The 21192-nt window shown below is 51.5% G+C and overlaps 1 protein-coding gene across 1 annotated transcript in view, besides 1 other annotated feature; it reads left to right on the top strand.

Annotated features, from left to right (window-relative positions):
• GRIK3 (glutamate ionotropic receptor kainate type subunit 3) overlaps window positions 1–21192 on the top strand; it is a 238989-nt gene that overhangs the window by 188275 nt on the left and 29522 nt on the right. The window contains exons 10-11 of the mRNA NM_000831.4: window positions 4302–4505; window positions 20415–20638. Coding sequence (NP_000822.2) covers window positions 4302–4505; window positions 20415–20638 — 428 coding nt within the window. The remainder of the gene's footprint in view (window positions 1–4301; window positions 4506–20414; window positions 20639–21192) is intronic.
• Window positions 4361–4930: an enhancer, noted in NCBI's record as "H3K4me1 hESC enhancer chr1:37306912-37307481 (GRCh37/hg19 assembly coordinates)". NCBI's record gives its function as "activates a minimal SCP1, AML or CMV promoter by ChIP-STARR-seq in naive H9 embryonic stem cells {active_cell/tissue: H9 hESC(naive)}" and the evidence as "EXISTENCE:reporter gene assay evidence [ECO:0000049][PMID:30033119]".

Raw genomic sequence — 21192 nt, 5'->3', positions numbered from 1 at the left:
ACAGCAGCAGCAGGAGACTGGACGCCTGCCCTCCCCCGCCCTCTCACCGCCCGGCCCCAGCCTCTGTTCTGGTTCCGCTCTTCCACGAGCTCATGAAAAATTCATCTGCCCAAACCTCAGCTCACACACTGAGAAAACACACCCGGCCCACTCTTGGGGGCCCAGCTTTTGAAGGTTCAAGACTCGTTTGGCTGCCGATGTGAGCCATGGTGTCACGGTGTGGGCATGCGTGCGGGTGTGTGGGTGGGTGTAGGACCAGCTACACACGGGTATCTGGATACTCAGTGATGGGTGCATTTGTGCCGTGTGCACATCGTGACCCACATAGGCTCAATTGCCTGCCAGGCAAGCCCAACACTCAGCACCCAGCAGCAGGAGAGGGGAAAAACCTGGGGCTAGAGTGTTGGCTGGGAGAACTATCCCAGGCTGGGAACGATTCTAGGCCCCTCCTGCTGGGAGAATAGGACTCCTGATACTGTGTGCTGGTTCTAACTGGTTGAAGCCAAGGCCTCAGGTCCAAGGTCCTTGGCCTCTGTGTCTGAGAAGGGCTAGGCAGACAGGACATCTGAAAATGTGGTGCATTTGTGCCAAGGACATTGTATATACTTGTGCGTGCATGTGTGGCTATGGGCTGACGTTACCTGTCAGAAAGGAGCTTCAGAACCCAGATATCAGGTAGCTAATCCCTGGATCCTTCCCAAATTGGGGATAACCCCCAAGACTCCCTCTTCCAACTCCATGGACCCTGTCACACTGGGAGAGGCTTAGCGCTAGGCCTGGCTTGCACGCTGGGGTAAGTGATCGGAGAGAAACCGGACCAAGAGCCCTGACAACGGAAAGTCAGAAACGGTTATTTTTCTGGACCCCTGTTTTCCGTGACTTGTTGAAGAGAAATATTACCCCTGTTCCTATGGCTGTTCTCCCAGAGCAATAGAAGAGCGTGAAGTTATGAAATTGAGGGCACCTTCACTGAGCAATCGATTAGCAGCCGAGAGAGCTTGTGAATTGGCTGTCTGGACATTTCCAGTAATAAATTGTGAAATAGTCCATGAATAAGTAGTTGGCGGAGTTCAGAATTACCCCCTAGGAAATGTTGCAGGTCTAGAGACACATTACTAAGGCGAGCACCATTTTAATGCTCTGGGCTTTGGCTGTTAAATATGTATGCCATCCGCAAAGCACTTCCCGAAATTAATGGCATTTTACAGCTGCTCTGAAGGCAGCGTATTTATATGGAGATGTATAGATTCTGGGGCTGTGGTGGCTTCACAAATGAAGTGCTAATTTTAGAGGATCAGGCCAGGGAGGGGCGTGAAGACAGGGTCAGGAAGTGAGCTATCTCAGGGACCTTTCCTGAAATGGTTTTCCGCTATCAACCATGAGTTTTAACCTTTGATGCATTGGGTGTGGCCTCTAGGCTGCAAAGGTCACTGCAGTAACCCGCCAAATAGCATACAAGAAAAAGATAAGGATGATAATGATTAATAATAATAATAATATTGGCAGCTAACAGTTGCCAGGCACTATTCTGAGTGCTTTTCGTAGACTGACTCATTTTATCCTCACAACAACCTTGTAAGGCAGGTTCTATTATTTTCCCCATTTTACAGAAGGAGGTAAATTTTGCCTAGGATTCTGTGTGTGGTTGGTGGATCCTCTGGGAAAGATGGTACCTTCTCTCTGATCCTTTCCATCAGCTAAAGTCAGGGCCACCAGGTGCAGTGGTGCAACTTGTCCATTGCACAAGAGCATCAACCAAAAGACCCTGCTCGCCAGGCCCCATGCCAGGGTGCAGGAGCATTGCCCAGAGATGAATTTGCATGAAGGCAGTGCATGGACCAGCCGATGTCCTCCTTCCTCCAGCCTCAGCACTTTTCCCAGGCCCCACGTGGACTCTTCTCCAACCTTGTTGAGCTGCCTGCTTGGTTGGAAGGCGAGTGAGAGAGGCACTGAGATTAAGCATGGCGCCTAGCCGAGGGTCCAGCTTCCTACCCAGTTAGACTCAGAATCCCTGGCTAGTCGGGAATCCCTTGGGGATTCAGAGACTGCCCCACCCCCACCAGTTCTTTCCCTGAAGCATCCCAAGGGACTGTTGAAAAGCTCCAGTGGATCAAGCATGGGGCAGGATGGGATTTAGAGAAGTAGCACTGCTGGGAGAGAGGGCCAAAGGCTCAAGCTTGCCGCCACAGCGGGAGCCCAGCAGGAGGCTACTGGTGAGCATCTGCTCCTAGGACCTCTGACAAAGGTCTTCACCGGGTCTTCCACTGCCCATCCCACCCTGGGGCTCATGAGGTCAAGGGAATGGCCCCGCCAGTTGAGTGAAGGATGAGGCACCTCCATAGTTAAGCATGTGCCTTAATCTGGGCATGCAGACATGAGCTTCCTGGTTTCCTGCATTCTGTCAGCTAACCATGGTCACACAGCCACTGAAGGCTTGAGACATTCTGTCACGTTGGGGTGCTGAGGCAGGTCTGGGGACGTTTGGCTGACAGAAAGAGGCCTAGGAGCTATAGGCAGGAACAGGGCAGGGGGCGAAGGAAGGAGGCTCAGGGGAGTCAGAAGAAGACTAGAGTTGTCCAGGAACAGGCTCTGGGATGGCAGCCCTTTACCTGATTTGGGGATCTGGAAAAGCAGATTAACTCCGGAAGGTCTGACCCCAGGGAACAGACAGGAGAGCCAAGCCAGAGAGAGGTGCAGCTGACTGGGAAGGATTGGAACTGGATCCCATCACTGTAGTTCAGTTCCTGTGTGATTTTGGGCAACTTACTGACCTTCTCTGAGCCTGAATTTCCTCATCTATCACATAAGGACAGTGTTACTATCTTGCAAGCTAGTGAGGCTTAAGTCAAACAGTCTGTGACAAAGAGTTTAAATCAGTGCCTGGTGCAGAGTAGGAACTCAATTGTGTTGAATTTTCTGGGAGTTCAGCGCATCCATCATGGACACGGGATGGGGCTTTGTGAGTGAAGCCAGATAGACGGTGCCGGCAAAAGCGTGGACTTGCGTGTTGACCTGGATTCGGACTTGCTGCATCGGAGCCCACAGTTCCTCACACTGCATATCTCGACTGGATGAAGTGGATCGCCTCTCTCCACTGGCTCTTCTGCCTCTTCTCCCAGTTATTCTTTGCAGGGTTGCCAGGGGTTTGTTTCTAAATGAGAAATCAGACAAAGTCATGCTCTGTTCAAATCCGGTCCCAGGCTCCCTATCACCCAGAAAGAAAGAAGCCTGTGGCAGGTGGAGGGGGTGGATGGTGGGGGGTCTGGCATGGGACAGGCATCTCTGACCCACAAGCACCTTCCTGGGGATCGCCTGCCCCTGAGGGAGGAGCACCATGGGCCTCAGGCACAGAACTCGCACTCTGGGGTCACACTAACCTGAATTCAGATCTTCTCTCATGCCGGCTAGGGGTGCTTGCACAACTCACATATCCTCATGAACTTCACTTTCTGCATCTATAAAATGGGATTATTCATACCCACCCCAGAGGGCTGACATTAAGGTGAAATGAGGCGATACCAGCTCCTGTCTGCTGAGCTCTGCTGGACTCTGTGCTAGGCCCCCCATGGGCATAAACTCATTTGCTAATTGACCAGTGCCCGGCACAGCCACCTACCGATGAGCTGTCCCTGTTACCAGTAATCACTCCCCTGGGATCCTAACACAGGGGACTGAGGAGGTTCTTGGAAAGAGAGAACGGCATCCAGGAGCATGTAAATCTAATCTTTTAAATTGGAGTTGGAAGAGAAGTTAGAGCAGACGGCTTTCTGAAGGGCTTTTTACAGCAGCGTCCTCAGACTTGAGTGGACATCAGAATTCCCTGGAAGGCTTCTGAAAACACAGATCGCTGGGCTCTCCCCAGAGTTTCCGGTTCAGTTAGGTCTGGGGTGGGGCCTGAGAATGTGCATTTCTAACAAGTTCCCAGGTGATGCTGATGCTGCAGGTGCAGGGACCACACGCTGAGCCTCTATTACTAGTGCAGCAAAGAGACCATGGGCCTTGGGATGGGTCTCCAGTTCAAAGCCCTGCTCCACCGCTCACTAGCTCTGTAACCACTGGGCCATTAAATCAGTAAGTGCCTACTGAGCTCCCGCCCTGTACCAGGTAGCCATTCATGAGGCCCCCAGCTGGCTCTCAGGACATGTGCTTTCCCGCTCCTGACTTCACGGGCCCTTTGTCTAAGCCACTCCAAGGGGTTTATAAAAACATGAGCAGAGGTCCTAGCCCTGACTCTCCAGTGCAAGCCTGCCTCCGCCCTAGCTGCTCAGTCTTCGTCACACCCTGCCCATCTGTCTCTGCAGGAGGAGCCCTTCGTCATGTTTCGGAAATCAGACAGGACGCTATACGGGAATGACCGGTTCGAGGGCTACTGCATCGACCTGCTAAAGGAGCTGGCCCACATCCTTGGTTTCTCCTATGAGATCCGGCTGGTGGAGGACGGCAAGTACGGGGCACAGGATGACAAGGGCCAGTGGAACGGCATGGTCAAGGAGCTCATCGACCACGTAAGCATGGATGGGAGCATGGGAGGGCTCAGGACCCTGGGGAGACTTGGCCTAGAACTGTCTGCACCACAGGGCTGGGCAGCCTGGCAGAAAAAGGCCCTGGGGACAGGAGTGATGGAGATGAATGCTGCAACCTTGAGGACTGGGGGGCCTCAGCTGAAGGAAGTGCACCCCAGCTCTCATGGGCTGCCTTGCTCATACTCCCAACGCCATTCTCCTCCGTACACACACAGATGCACTGGCCTCCATCTGATTCAGAGCCGGCCCCACTGGCATCTTTGATGAACTTGCTCTGGAGGAGGCCTGTGGCTTCTTGGTATCTTCTGCTCCTTTAAAAACCACCAGAGGATGCCCCAGCTATGGGGCAAGGCACCCACATGAGACACTTCACCAAATTCTTGGACACAGAGAGAAACCCGTCACTGCATTGAGTAACTCTGGGTCTAGTGGGAGTCCAGGAAGCTGAGAGCTGGGAAGAAGGGATGAGCAGGGCCTGGCTGGAAGCACCAGGGAGTCAGCCTCTTCCTCTGCCTGGGATCAGGAGAGGACTGAGGACAGCTGGGAGCCCAAGCAGGCAGGTGAGGGGGTGGGGGGTGTACCTGGGCTTCTTGAGACATTGGGAGGAAGAGGGAGAAGCCACAGGCTGGAGACACCACCACAAGGGAGGAATTAGGAGGCCCTGGGCTCGAGTCCCGGTTCTTCCTCATTAGCTTTGTGAACAAGGGCAAGTCACTCAACCTCTCTGAGCAGTTTCTCCCTCTGTAAATTGGGCATGTTGACACCCCTTCCTCACGCGATTGTTGTCATAGTGGCAGAAGACTGGGCCTAGAGTAAGTTCAGTAAGAGGGTCCCTGGTAAGATGCTGTGAGCAAACACATCATAGTTCTCAGACGCCCAGGCTGTGGCCCAGCAGGTCTGGGTTCAAGCCTCAGTTTTGTTGTGTGACCGGGTAAGTTCATCAATCTCACTAAGGCTCAATTTCTTTATTTCTAAAATAGGAGTAATTGTTGCTGTTGTTAGAGACAGAATCACCCAAGGTGGAGTGCAGTGGTGCCATCACAGCTCACTGTAGCCTCAAACTCCTGGGCTCAAGTGAGCCACCTGCCTTAGTCTCCTGAGTAGCTGGGGCTACAGGCACGAGGCACTCCACCTGGCTAATTTTTTTTTTTTTTTTTTTTTTTTTTGGTGGAGAGCAGGGTCTCACTTTGTTGTCCAGACTGTTCTCAAACTCCTGGATTCAAGTAATCCTCCTGCCTTGGCCTCCCAAAGTGCTGAGATTACAGGCATGAGCCACCATGCCCTGCCTAAAATAGGAGTCATTAGCAACTACCGTAGCTCCTGTGGTTGTTGGGGGAATTAAATAAGGCACCATTTCCACAGGCTTACCTGGCACACAATAAACATGACCTGCCTTCCAGCTCAGGGCCCTCAACTTGACTGAAGCATTTTCTATCAAGGAGCTGCTGCTGAATTCAAGGACCTGATCCATACTGGACCCCTTAGATTCCTTCTCTCATTTATCCTTATAAAAGCCCAGTGAGGTAGGTACTGTTATTAACACCCATTTTACAGATAGGGAGACTGAGGCAGAAAGAGATGAAGTGGTGGAGCCAGAATTTGGAGCCTCCCTGCCTCGTAGCCCTGTGTTCCAGCTTCTGCAAAGAACCATCCTGACCCCAGGGGCCAGGACAGAGGGAGGTTCATGCAGAGATCTTTGCAACCCACAGAGTATCAGCCAAAGGTTATGACTTCACCTCTCCAGGATGGGAGCAGACAGCATCAGGGACTTCGGTTAAGCCCCCTTGCCTCGGTCTGAGGGGAGCTGCCTACAGAGACCTTGGAGGTCGCAAGTGGGGAGGGAGGCTGGAGCTCAAGGCATGAAGGCTGGAGCCTGGCCCAGTGGAGTCACTTCCTAGTCCCCAGCAAATTGGGCTCCTGTGGAAGTCTAATAGGAGACTCAAATGGTCAAGAGCATGAACTCGAGCTCAGTTTGATTCAAACTCTTCCGCTTGCTAGCTGTGCATTCCTGGACAAGTTTCTTAACCTCTCTGTGCCTCAGTTTCTGCATCTGTAAAAGGGAAAAGATATTAATAGGACCTACTTCATAAGATTGTTAGGAGGACTAAGTCAACATAGTGTATTACATGTCATCACCATGTCAGTATTTACTATTATTATTTTTATTTTTATCCTTACAACTATTCCTTGGAGGCTGGGGAGGGGGCTTCAGGAAGTCCCCTTATCTCTCTGAGCTGCACTTTCCTAACCTGACAGTGAGAATAATAATACCTGCTCCACATTCTTCACAGCTTGTTGTGAGCCTCAGAGGAGACAACTGGTGGGGAAGCAGCTTCTAGATTATAGAATTCAATATAAACGGAAGGGAGTGGTGTTGTCACCGTTATTAGTAATAACTATAATTATTATGGAAATTAGTCAGCAGGCCCCAGAGGCATCTCCATCTTATCCATTCCCCTGCGTTTATGAGTGGGGCTTGGAGTCTGGGGCTCTGGGTAGGCTCTGAGGCTGTCATTTGCAGAGGCAAGCTGGGCAGGGGAGAAGGAAGATCACGTGGAAGGTGGAGGCTGGGTGCGGAGGTGAGCAGGGCTGGGCCACCCTCACCACTCACAACATCTCCAGTGGCCCCACAGCTTTGAAGAGCTGTTTGCAAGGGAATGTGATCAGAGAAGCCCAGCATCAGCCTGATCTCCCTAAGCTGACCCTCAGCTGGGAAAAGGAGGGAGTGTCGTCCACGGCCTCCGAGCAGCCAGGCGGTGCTTTGGGAAGCCCAGTATTCATCAGGGTTACAGGCCTGACGAGACATGCAGGGGACCTTGTTAAGCCCAATTCCCTACAATTGATGAGCCTATTAATCCTAGCTTGGTGCCATTTTTAATAACATCATAACCATATATTAGTGTCGTCAGATAATTAGTCTTCTCACTAGCCCATAGAAAGCATGCAAAGGCTTGGCAATATTATTACTTCCTTATTAGGGATCTGAATGTAGGCGTAAAGATGATGAATGCCCACCTTTGTAAGTGTCCACCCCCCGGGGCCCATTTGGAGGCCCTGGGTGGAGCCTCTGACCAACAGGACTTAAAAAGCCCTTCCCAGATACTCCCTGCTCGCCTCTGTCCCGTGCCACATGGTCTTCCAAGGGTTACAGAGGAAGATGGGGTGGCTAGAGGATGCATCGCCTTCTGCTGACACACTCGCCTGCCGCAAGTCACCTTGAACTATAGGGACAACAATAAACACGATCAGACAGAGCAGTGATTATACCCTCCATCCCCCATCTCTCATCTAAATTTCCCTCTGTCTATATTTACTGCCTACTTGTCTGTTTCCTCTTTCAAAAATCTTCTACTCACATCCGTACCTTAAATTATTCCCATGTGTTTTGATGACTCTGGAATCTAACCGAAATGGGTTCAAATTCTGAGTCTAGCACATTTCAGCTGACAGTGGGAAAGTTATTCCATTTCTCCGGCCTCCATTTCCATGTCTACAAAATGGGGATAACAAAAGAGCCTCCTGCCTGGCATTGGTAGGAAGATTTAATGAGATATGGCACCAAAATGCTTCGCCAAGTTCCCAGTGCTCAGTAAATGCTCAGTACACAGAAGCTGTCCCTCTCATCACTGTTCCTTCCAGGGACAGCCTCCCTGTCTAAAGTATGTCCATGATTAAATGTGATGGTGGTGGGAGGGTGGCCCCTCAGCCGTGGTCATCCTGCCAGGCCACAGTAGTCCAGGACCTAGACCTTACCCCCACTGGATCCAAACAGGGAGCCTCGAGGAGCTGACTCACATTGATCAGACACACAGGGAACTGAGGCACCACCAAGGTGCCACCTTCTTACTTTACTTGGGGCACTGGACTTTTCTGACACTGGGAGTCCCCATCTGCCATCCAGAGCTTCTGTGTCCTGGCACCAGGTGCCCAGGAGCCCACTTGGGGAGTGCAGAGGCAGAACCCCAAGAGTGGAGAGCCTGGAGCCAAGAGGAGAGCTGCTGCTGGAGAAGGGGGAAAGAGGTAGGCATTGAAGAGTCTCGGGTGCTGAACCGAGGAACTGGACTTTAATCCCGAGGGCTATGGAGAATCTGAACCCACTGAAGTGGAGCCAGGGGGTGACATCGACTTGGCACTTGAGGAAGGTCACTCTGCTGCTGTGCCAAACCTGAGCCAGTATGGAAGCCATCGCTGGGACCCAAACAGGGCGAGTGCTGCTCTAGGAAAGGAGGGAAGTAGATGCACAGCCAGCAGACAAGCAGGAGAACTGATGAGGCTCCCGATTGGTTGGATAGAGGAGGTAGGGGAAAGCGAGGAGTTGCGGACAGGGCATGGAATTCTACTCTGGACAGTTAAGGAGGTGATGGTGTCCTGCTCACATCAAAAGCCCCCTGGAGAAATTGAGGATTTGGGAAACATAGTGAGGTCCATTTGGGATGTGTTGGGATTGGGGTCCCTGTAGATGGTGGCCCTGTGGCTGGGCACTTGGAGGAAGGAGCAGGGCTGGAGGCTGAGCTCTAGGAGTCATCAGCACATCCTGCAGGGAGCCTGGGAGGTGGAGACGACAGCTGCTCAGGGAGAGCAGAGATGAGGACCTGGGGTGGGACCCTGAATGGCACAGATGAAAGGGTGGAAGCCACAGGATGCCTGGGCTGGCAAGGCTGGAGGGGAAGGAAGAGAATCAGGAGAGCATGGGGTGAAGGAGGCCCAAGGAAGAGAGGCTACTAGAAAGGGGGGGAGGGTCAGTGGCCTCAAGGAGGTCAAGGGAAATGAGGAATGAGCATCCACGAGTTGGCACAAGCGTGACCTCCTGGGGGTACAAGGTCAGCCCCAGCAGGGTCCTTGAGTGCTCCTATTCTCAAATTTCACCCTCGGAGACCCAGAATTCTGTCCTGGCTGCTCTCCCAGCCCCCTGCATCAGAGCAAGAGGGAGGCTAACGGGGATGCATAAAATCTCTGCAGGCCACGGGAAATGGATTCTTTTCTCTCTAAGTTGTCACATCTCACTGCAGTATGGATGGCCAGATAAGAAGTTTTCCCTGCCTCATAGATGGGGCTGGACCAAGATGAAGTATGGAACACAATGGAGACAAAGAGTCATCACTGGTAGCCTTAGCATATTGTATACTTTCCTATGGAGAAGTTGCACCACCCACACATCCGCTCTGCTTCCCAGTAACACTGAGTGCAGACCAGGGAGGGTGGCACAGCTAGAAGTGCCAATTTCCCTGTGTGACTCTTCTTACCGACGGGGAGCACTTGATGGGCTAAACTTGGCTGCTGTCCCAACACCTGGCATGGGCTGGACGCACACAGAGCAGCCTCGCTGAATGAGGGACACGTGGGTGAACACATGGACTTGCATGCTTTGCCCAGAGGCATGGTTGTTGTGGGGTCGTGACTAGCTGGCTTCCCAGCCATGGTGTGTGAGAGGAGGGCCTTATGTCAAGGCCATGACCCCAGTGCCCACCATGTCCACCATCTTCTAACCAGAAGCAGATCTGAGTTCTGGCCCGCATGCATGGGTGTCAGGAGGAGCCTCATACCCTTGTTTGTGTGGCCAGGAAATGCTCTGCCCAAGCTACCTCCTTTGGGCTGGGCCAGCACAATTGCAAGTAAAGCATGCTGGGAGCTCCCCCAGGGCAAGTCAGAATCCTGGAGGGGACAGGGCAGTTGAGGGCAGGGGAAACTGCAAAGCTGGACTCCTGTTGGAGCAGCCAGGTTGCCCAGAGCAATGACTGTGGAGCCCTGGGGGAGCTCGGGATGTCTCCAGGGTCTGTCTGGGGAGACCAGGGAAGCAGGTGAGGGGTGCAGGAGGGACTTGGGGCCCCATCGAGAGTCACTGCAGAACTGTCAGCTCCAGAATTCAGTGAGCAGAGACCAGCCTGGGGAAAGGCTTGGAAAGAGCCTGGCAGGGGTCCAGGTCCGGACAAACAGGTGTAAGAGAGCAAGAGGGCTTGAGGGATGAAGGGAGTATTGGGGGAAACCGAGGTCAGAAGGAGCAGCTGAAACATGCAAGCTCCCCTGCTGAGGATCATTCCTTCCTTCATCAATTGCACGAAAGTTTATTGAGCAATGTCTCAGCCTGGGAGCCTGCAGAGCAGAACCTGAGGCAGGGGATTATGCCATTACTCAATTAGGGGTTGTGATGCCAGGGAAAGAATGAGTGCCAAGGGCAAGGGATGTGGAGAAGGAAGGAGGAAGGCAACACAAGGATGTGTTATTGAGCTGGTTGCCATAGAGGGTGACTAATGTCTCAGTCTGTGAGTCTGCACCCTGGAAAAACTTTATAAAGTGTGTCTCAGGACCATCTCTTGGGGTAAACAGAGGAAGGGAAAACAGGTTTATCCACCAGCTCCTGACTCCCATGCATTCTGGGTTTGGCTTGGTGGCCATGGGAACCAATTGGGATCTTGCAGCAGCGTCTATGAGAAACCACAGGGCTGGAGGCCAGAGGTGGCCAGTTGGGCAGGCATTGAGATGCTGTCAGATTGGACCTGCATGAGGTTGGCCAGAGCCAGAGGATCTGAAAGGCTGCCTGAGAGGGGTCTGAGCCCAGACCCAACTGATACTGTGCCAGACCCAGAGCAGTGACTAGGGAGTGAGGGTGACCCAGGCAGACATGGTCCTTACCCTCCGGGGGCAAACAATGAATCAGACAAGTGATATTTCATTAAGATTTTGATCAGTGCTGCAACGGGAAAGATAGAGGGCTTTGGGAGTATACCCCGAGGAAAAGGCCTCAAACTTCCCTGAGGAAGTGACTATTAGGCTGCTACCTGAAGAATGAGGAAGAGATGTCCCAGACAGGTCTAAGACACATGTCTGGGTGGATGGCAGAGGCTGCTGAAGTCTCCACCTGGTCAGGGCCTGGCTGGGGCTGCAGCTGAGTGCGTGGAGTCCCGGAGCACTGGCAGGACTGTGCTAGGGCTAGCCCTGGACAGACAGCACCCTTGTGGACATGCAGGGGGTGGGGACAGGATTCTTTTGGAGATGGCGATAGAGATTGTGATGCATCCTTTGGAGTGCGCCCTGAAGCAGGGAAATTCCACTGAGCCTTCCTAAGAAATAGGCACAGGCTGGTCCCCGTGGGGACTCAGGAACCAGGCAGTTCTCCCAGGCTTGGGAGAGGCACACCCATCCTTTCTCACTGTCAGACATCCATCAGCTCAGGAGGCCTGTGTGCCAACCACAGAGACATGACCCACTGGTTGATACTTACGAATTTTCTAGCACCTGTTCCCCATCTATTTAAATATATGTGGGCTTTTCATGGTGCTGTTTTCCAAGGTTATCGATGGCCACAGTGCCAAGTGTTAAGATTGACAGCTAGCTGGCAGGTCATCCACAGATATTCTCTCTGACTTGTTATCCCCCGACCCCTGCTCCCCTTTCCCTGCCCCCACCAACTGCAGGATGGCACTCCTGAGACAGCGCTTGCTGGGGGATCTCTTTTAAACCTCCAGTGCTCCCAGTGACTGATTTATTCATTTCTGCAATAAATCTATCAAGTCAGGCCCCATGCTAGCAGCCGTGGACACAGCAGTGAACAAAACAGGCAGGATCCCTTCCCTGATCCTCAAGATCCTACATTCTAGTGGAAGAAATGGGCAATTATCTATGAACATAGGAATAGATATAAATATTCAATGAGAGCAAGTGTTCTGGGCTGGGTGGAAGAGCTTCCCTGGTTCCCAGACTGGGGCCTGGGCTGACAGGTCCTGTAGATCAGAGAGCAGTGGGGAGTCACTGTGACCCATCCCAGGAAACTTTGGGGGAAGATCTTGGAGACTCGAGAGGTCAGGGCTAGCCATGCCCTGTTGCCTTCACCAGCAGCAGTCAGGGGAAGCCAGGAAGGGCAACTGGTTATGCAGCAGAAACTGGTGATGAGGGTTGGGTGAAGGAGGACATGGATTTGGGAAGCTGTCCCCCAACCCCAGTTATGGCCATGGCACTATGAACTCTGGTTTCCCAGCCTCCAGGTGGGTTGGCAGGTGTGACGGGAAGATCTGTTATCAAAGACACACTACCATTGCCCCCGCTGTGTCTCATCTTCCTCCCAACTAGGAACTAGACCTTGGTTCTGGCCTGCATGTGTTGGCCCCAACCTCTGTCTGCAATGCCAGGGATGGTTCCGCCCAATCCCATTGCCCCAGCCTGGAGCAGGGCTCTTTGGAGCTGGACATGCTGGGAGCTCACCTGGGGGCAGGGGAAAGAGATGGGCTCCAAAGGTGGAGCCCAGCCCTCCCCCGACCAGCCAGGTTGCCCAGGGCAGTGACTGGAGAGCTCTGTGGAGCTGAGGATTCACCAGGACCTCTCTGAGGTGGGAATGAGGGCAGGTGAGGGCTATCGGTGCTAGGGTCCACTGACAGGTCAGAAGGAAGAGGGGTAGCAATGTTCAGGTGGGTTCATCCGGGGCCAGGGCACAAGCAGCAGGCTCTAAACTCTGGAGAGAGGCAGGCAGGGGACAGGATCAGGTGAACTGGCGAGAGTTAGTGCAGGAGACCCGACGCCAGAGCTCAGCCCATTAGGCTGGGGTAAGGGGTAAGCAGGACTCTTGGGGGTATTTTGATGCTCATTCTTCCAGCAAAATTTGATTGAGCCCCTACATTGTGCCAGGCTTTGCGTTAATCCCTACAGACACATCAGTGAGTGAAACAAGCTCACTCCCCACACTCCTGGGCTGTATATCCTGGCAGAGGAGCTGGGCGTCCCACAGTGACTTACAAATAAAAATTTCATAGTGATAAAGACACGGAGGAGCAGTGCGGGGGCTATGGGAGTGTGTAACCAGGACCTAGCCTTGGGGGCAGGGGGGCCCACTGCCTTCCGCTCCGTTGGGCTGTGCTAGGTCAGGCCCTGCCCTGTCTGGGCTAATACAACTGTCAGGGTATGAGGTGTGGGGAGAGAACTTGACTGAAGGGACACGGAGTCCATGGTGCCTCCAACCTGGGGACCCCTATGGGGTCTATGAAGCAGGGAAGACCTGCCCATCCTTCCCAAAGGACAGAGGCATAGGGATGGAGCTTGCTGGGCCTCAGAAATTGGGCTGTCCTCTCAGGCCCAGGAAGGGTACACACATCTTTCCTCACTGTTAGGCAGTGAGGCTGCTGTCAGCTCAGGAAGCTGGTGAATGAATCACAGGTACTAGTAGTTGACCCATCGGTTGACACTTATGAATGGGCTAGCACCTGTTTCCCCTCTGTTCAAATTTGTGGACCCTTCAGGGTGTTGGTTTGTCAGGTTCATGTCCAAGGCCCTTGAGGGACACAGTGTTTTCTTAAGCTTGGAGGCTGTGGCTCAGCAGCAGACACCGTCTGTGACTTGCTTTATCCTCTTGTAAACGGCCATGTGCTCTGTCAGCTGACCCAGAGGACACGCTCGCTGGGTGCCTCGTCTAAACCAGCAACATCCTACTCATTCATTCCCAGAGTCTCTATGAAAGGCCTACTATGTGCCAGACACTGTGCCAGCCATGGGGCACACAACAGTGAAAAGGTGACAGGCTCCGGCCTCACTCTCCTGAGCTCGTGGTCTGAGGGGGTGGAAACACCCAGAGAATCGGCCAATGCCTCTAAAATCACAACTGTGATCAGTGCTGGGAGTGACAAGTGCCTGGTGCGATGAGAGCAGTAGAGCAGTCGCCAGGGAGTTCTGATTTCCTCTGAGGCTTGTGTCTGTGGAAGTGATGATTGGGCTGAGATCTGAAGCAGAAGTCGGCATTCACTAGACAAAGAGTTTGGGGAGGAAGAGGTTCCAGGTGGAGAACAGTTCATGTGCAGCATCCGGAGGTAAGAGGAGGGGCTGGATGAACATGGATCAGAGGGGCTGCAGAAAGCCTGGGAGGAAGAGAGATGGGGAGGACAGTGTAAGAAATGTTGGAGTGCCTTTCAATGCGGCAGCCACCAGCCACACGGGGTTATTTAATTTTAAGCTTTAATTAATTAAAATTCAATTAAAGTATAAATTCAGTTCCTCAGTCTTACAAGCCACATTTCAAATGCTTGACAGCCATGTGTGGCCCGCAGTTGCCATATTGGGCAGTGCAAACAGAGAACCTTTTCATCGTTGCAGGAAGCTCTGTTGGACAGCACTGGACTAGATCACGCATGACTGTAAGCAACCCTAGTAAGAATTTTTTATCCTAAGGGTATTAGGAAGTCCTGACCTACTTTAATTAGCACCATGGATACGGATAGATTCAAAGTGGTGATTCCCACCACTTTGGGGAAAGAGCAGAAGGTGAATTCTGTGATGCCACATACCAAAGATGTGGGCAGGATGCCAGCAGAGTCCCCTGGGAATAGTCCCGTATGCATGGCAGGAGTGAGGCTGGTTTACTTAGGCAGCTGTGGAAGCAGCAGAGGGACCTGGAGGTGGCAAGGGTGTACCAGCAGCTTTCTGCAGCTGCAGGGCTCCCAAGCCAGGCAACGTGAAGTATATGCCGGGAAGCCCCATGGTCAGGGGCCAGAGTCAAGTTCACGTCTCTGGGAATGCAACACTGGGCTCAGGACAAGGCAGGGTGGGTCCAGCCATGATGCTTGCTCTTCAGAGTGAGACAGGTGCTGGGGTGGGGACAGCAGCAGGCTGTGGAAGGAGCCCCATGCATCCTGCACAGGGTCTAAGTGGCAGGAATGTTAGTTCCCTAGAGCTGCCACACCAAATGGCCATGAACTGCCAGTGCTGGAGGTCAGAAATGAGAAATGAAGGTGTCAGCAGGGCTGGTTCCTTTTGGAGGCTCTGAAGGAGAACCTGTTCCATGCTTCTCTCCAGTCTTCTGGTGTGGCCGGCAGTCCCTGGTGCTTCTGGCTTGTATCTGCTATTCCGGTCTCTGCCTCCAGCATCACATGGCCTTCTCTGTGTGTATCTGTGCATCCTCTTTTCTTTTTTTTTTTTTTTTTTTTTTTTTTGAGACAGAGTCTCGCTCTGTCACCCAGGCTGGAGTGCAGTGATGTGATCTCGGCTCACTGCAATCCCTGCCTCCTAGGTTCAAGCAATTCTGCCTGCCTCAGCCTCCCAAGTAGGTGGGATTACAGGTGCATGCCACCATGCCCAGCTAAATTTTGTATTTTTAGTAGAGACGGGGTTTCACCATGTTGGCCAGGCTGGTCTTGAACTCCTGCCTTCAGGCAATCCACCCACCTTGGCCTCCCAAAGTGCTAGGATTACAGGCATGAGCCACTGCGCCCGGTCTCCTCTTTTCCTCTTCTTATACGGACACCAGTCGTTGGATTTGGGGCCCACCCTCATTCAGTATAACTTCATTTTAACTCGATTTCATCTGCAAAAACCTTATTTCCAAATAAGATCATACTCATAGGTACCAGGGGTTAGGATTTGCACATAATTGGGGGTGGGGGGGCATAATTCAATCCACTACATGTGGCTTGCATGGTAGAGTGGTAAAATGTTGGGCTTTGAGATCACAATGAACTGGGTCCAAGTACTGGCTCAGCCACTTACCAGTTTAAACAAGCCTCCTAGCCTGATTAAGCCACTTGTCCCCATCTGGAATATGACGAGGATGTTGACCACCTGGCGGGGATACTGGGAAGATGGCATAGGCATAGGCAGCATACGCAATACACTGAGTCATGCTTGGCTTGTCTGATGGGGATCCCAACTAAGAGGTGGAGAACGGAGATGAGGAAGCTGGTGGGAACTATACTTGGGAATCCAAGCAGGCAGCTTCCAGCAGGGACACCAGACACAGGCAGCAAGCTGGGAGTCAGAGGCCAGATCTCAGACCCTTGGGAGGACCCCTGTCCTAAGAGAAGGCTGATCAGTGACAAGTTGTTAGAGCTGAGGCCACAGTCCCAACCCCATTCCTGGTAGGAAGATGTCCAGGTTTTAGTCTGGAGTACAAGGCAGGATTCAACCAGCAACCAGGGCATCTGGAGACTGAGGAACAAAAGATGGAGCTATAGCAGGTTAAATTGTTCTTACCTTCAGTTTGGGGAGCTGGGGGTGTGGTAGAATGGGTGGGGGCCAGGTGACCTCATGCAAGGATAGAGGACACTGGGAGGAGGAGAAGCCAGGAGGGTCCCAACAGATTCTTGGTAAGTGGAAAGCTGCTTATGGGGATGAAGTAATGTCCTGGGAAGACCATCCTGCCTGGTCCAGAGGTTTAGAAATAGTACAGAAAGGTCCTTGGTGAGGCAGGAGGGCTGACAAAACACTCGTTAGACCAATGAAAGTGTTGCACAAGTCAAGGGTTTGATGTCATTCAGGACATGATTGCTATAAATATTATAGCAAAGACCAAGGAGCTTCTCTCCGAGCCTCAGTTTCCTTCTGTTAAAAAAAAAAAACAAAAAACAATAAAAACCATGGGGTTGGAATAGATGTATTCCTCGAATAGACTTGAAGTTCTCTCATCCAGCTCTGACAGCCTATGATTTTATGAATCATCCTCAAAGAAAACTTGCACAAGTGGGAAGAGCCTGCCAAGATTGGGCCTTTCATTCTGAGTAATGAACCGAAACAGCAAAGGCTTGACATCTGTTCCCATCTTTCAAGGGAAGTTGGACAAAATAATGCCTTTCTCAGGGAAATCGTAACTAACGGTGAAATGTAGTATTTTCTGCCTTAACCAGAAACGCAGTGGAGAACTCCAGCCTTCCTGAAGCCCAAGGGAGAACACAGATCCAAACTCCCAGTGAAGGTCATATTGGCCAGTTGTCTTGCCACCGTAGGTATAGAATGCTGCGGATGCCTTGGTCTCCTGACCCCATTAAAACCAAAGAGCAGGAAGAATGGCAGGGAGGTTTCAAAGGCTCTGAGAGGATCTGGGGGAAGGGCTGGCCAGAAGGCCAATCACCTGTGGCCATGTGATTAGCTTTCTCACCAGCCCTTGGAATAATCATTGGCTACAAACAGCTCAGTCCCCCAGCCATAACTCTCTTATCCAACTTGCCATCAAAAGTTAAAGGAAGATTCATCACCGCCATTGACTTTGAGGTTCTTCCCAAGAATCCACTCCATTTCCAGAGACCAGTTCCAAAGGCATTTTGAGCAATGATAATGACTTTGGAGTGAGGACAGAACCTCCCAAAGCAATATAGAGTAAAGTGTCACTTAACAACAGGAATACATTCTGAGAAATGTCATTAGGCATTTTCATCGTAGTTGGAACATCATAGGCTATACTTCCACACACCTAGATGATAGTGCCTACTACACACTTCAGCTATATGGTATGGCCTATTGCTCCTAGGTACAAACCTGTGCAGCATGCTACTCTACTGAATACTGTAGGCATTTGTGTATGCAAAGTTATCTAAACATAGAAAAGGTGCACAGCAAAAATAGTATTATAATCTTATGGGACCACTATTGAATACGCAGTCCACTGTTGACCAAGAGAGTTAGGCAGCACATGACTGGACTTTGAAGGGACAGGACTTGGGGACGCCAAGTTCTGGAATCAAAGACCTTCTACATCTCTCTCACGTCAACATTACAGAGAATCCTAGAACTTGAGGACTGAAAGGAACCTTTCAGGGTATCTCACTCAGGCTCCCACCCCACCAAGGGATCCTATCTACAGCCCCAGCAGGGGCTCACTAACTGGAAGCTCCATGATACCAGGGACTCGGTCTCTTGCTCACCACTCTACACCCTCCCTGAGAGTTTTTTTTTTTTTTTCTGCTTTCTTTTGTATATACCCTGAACTGAAAGGACTCCAGGAGCTGGGGTGGCGGCAGCTTGCCCCATTCCTCCTTCTGCCTTCAGCCAGGCAAATTCCAACTCACACATTCAGACATTTACAAAAGAAAGACCATTTCTAATAGGCTCCTCCTCCCTATCTTTCCCAGGTTCTGAAGGTCATCAAATCCTTGGACTCCAAGTGTCAGTGATGGGGTGTGGGGGCTGCCTTTAGAAGGAGAAACATTGGGTAGGCAGTGTCAAAGTTGTATTTCCCAGCTGCTCCCAGCCGGGAGCACCTGCAGAGCTGTCCAGAAGCTGTGATTCCATCCATACTAGCGCTTCCCTCCTTGACATCTGATTTTGACTGGATTGCTAGTTCCTGTTCTAAGATGAGTGAAGTCAGAGCTAGTGTTAGCAGGTACCCTTTAGTAAACAGTTTGATTAATGCCCATCTCCCCTACTAGACTGTAAGCTCCATGAGGGCAGAAGTCATGTCTGTTTGGGTCAGCTCTGTATCCCTGGTGTCTGTTGGAGTTCATGACACAATGAGTGGATGAATGGAGTTGGACCAAGTTAATGGATGGACACCTGGAGGCATTGCCTTGGAAAGGGGTTTCAGAGGGAGGTCCCCCCTTGCCAGAAAGGTCTTTAACCTTTCTGTTGTTAGGCCCCAGCCTCCCTTTCTGTCCTCTCCTACTTGAGGAAGGGAAGTGATAACTTAGTTCACATTCTGAGATGTAAATATCCACAGAAGCCCCAGGGGCAGCCTCTCAGAGGGGAAGGTTATTAATTAACAAATATTCCAGAGGCTGAGATGGGGCTTGGGGATGGAGAAAAGAAGCAGAGACTCCGCCCCAGCTCCAGCCGCACTCAGAAATTCACAGGCAAATAAGCAGATCAGACACAAGGTCGCATGGAGCACAGACTGCCATTCAAGCAAAGCAGAGCTGGCTTCATGGAAGTTTAGAGATGGAGGCTGCGAGGGAGGGTTTCTGGAAGAGGCAAGATGTGCAGAGGAAGGCAGACAGTGGTGGGAATGAGACTATAAGAAGAGGACATCCTAAACAGTGTGGAATGTGCAGAACATGGGGCTGAAGGAGGGACTGTGGTAAGCAGGAAGTGGTTTCATTGGGGCCTCATGGGGGAGGATGCCAGTGGGGTCCTGGAAAGATGGGATGGGAATGAGGGAATCTAGTTTTTTAATCAGGAAAATCTCAGACCAAAAAATTGAACTTTAATTCTTCCGCTTATTAAAATTGTGATGGGCTAAAATTTATTAACACAGCATTCCTAGAATTACCCCACCCCCTTCTTTTCCACTCCGCACCACCTCCTATTAATAAAGGCCCTGGATTTGCTTCTTTTGTTTCTTTTCTTTTTTTTTTTTTTTATTTTTTGAAACAAGATCTCACTCTGTTGCCTAGGCTGGAGTGCAGTGGCACGATCACAGCTCACTGCAGCCTCTACCTCCCAGCCTCAAGAGATAGAGATCCTCCCACCTCAGCCTCCCAAGTAGCTGGGACTACAGGCACGTGCCACTGTACCCAGCTAACTTTTTAATTTTTTGTAGAGATGGAGTCTCACTATGTTATGTAGGCTATTCTCAAACCCCTGGGCTCAAACTATCCTCCTGCCTCGGCCTCCAAAGTGCTGGGATTGCAGGCATGAGCCACAACGCCCAGCCTGCCTGTCTAGTTTCTCCAAAGGAGGGTATTATCTTTGCCCAACTTGCATTTGGAGGGCTTTTAGGATATATAGAAAATCCAGAATGTGGTGAAGCAGTCAAGAAGTGGATGGGAGAGGAAAGCAGAATTAAATAAGCATTGTGGTGCATTCTGTGTCCTCTTTGTGGTTTTGAAAGACACAAATAAAAAGCACAAGCTATTTTTGAATGTTCATAGGTTACTGAACTGTATTTATTTGACAAAGCACCATTTTGAGAAGGGAGCACATGGGTTACAGCTTTAATAGAGTTCCATTCTCTGCATGTTTATTCCACCACCCTCTTCTTCAAGACCATGAGCTCTTAGAGAGCAGAGGTTAAGTTGAATTCATCATTGTCTCCCCAGCACCCTGAGCTGGCCCTGAAGGAGGGTTAGTAAATGTGGAAACAGAAGAGCGGTTAGTGACCTGGGGCTGGGACAACTGACTTCACCCTCATCTCTCCTCCAGCAATGGTGTTCTGTCTCCCGCTATTCTGAGACTTTGCTCATAGTCTGTCTTTCTCTCTCTGTCTGGTTGCAGAAGGCAGATCTGGCCGTGGCCCCCCTGACCATCACCCATGTTCGAGAGAAGGCCATCGACTTCTCCAAGCCCTTCATGACACTTGGTGTGAGCATCCTGTATCGAAAGCCCAATGGCACCAACCCCAGCGTCTTCTCCTTCCTCAATCCCCTGTCCCCAGACATCTGGATGTATGTTCTCCTCGCCTACCTGGGGGTCAGCTGTGTCCTCTTCGTCATCGCCAGGTAAGGCAATTCCTTGGCCAGACATCGGGCCCAAGGTTGAAGGTCTAGGGGTTAGGCAGGTCCTCATCTCCTCAGCCCCTGGCACAGAAAGCCCAAGGCTCAGGCCACTGCTGTACCCACTCCTCTTCCACTCCCTATGGCTCAGATTCCTTTGTATCCCTCAAGGAACATTCCATGCCTTGGCCCTCCCCACCCCCACGCTTGAATCACCTGGTCCTCACCCTCGTCTGTGTCTATAACTCTGAGATGAAGCAGTTGCACCTCAGGTCCCATTGGCAGGCTCGTAGAGGTCAAGTGGTTGCCCAAAGTGGCACCACATGAGCTAGGCACCTGGTGCAGCAGACTCAGGACATTGGGTGGCCCAGTGGGTGGCTTAGAACTTGGAAAACAGGGTGTGTCTATCCAAGCCACAACAGCAGGGGGAACAGTGCCCAGTAAACTCACAGCCATCCCCACATGCAGAAACACGGCACACATACACACATCCCTGTCTGGGCTCCCTGCTAGCAACATGCTTGCACATTTGGTTGTTCACATAAAGTAGACATAGCGCA

This window comes from Homo sapiens, chromosome 1, assembly GCF_000001405.40.
Source record: "Homo sapiens chromosome 1, GRCh38.p14 Primary Assembly".
Classification (NCBI taxonomy): domain Eukaryota; kingdom Metazoa; phylum Chordata; class Mammalia; order Primates; family Hominidae; genus Homo; species Homo sapiens.
This window is presented reverse-complemented; position numbering and strand designations above follow the sequence as displayed.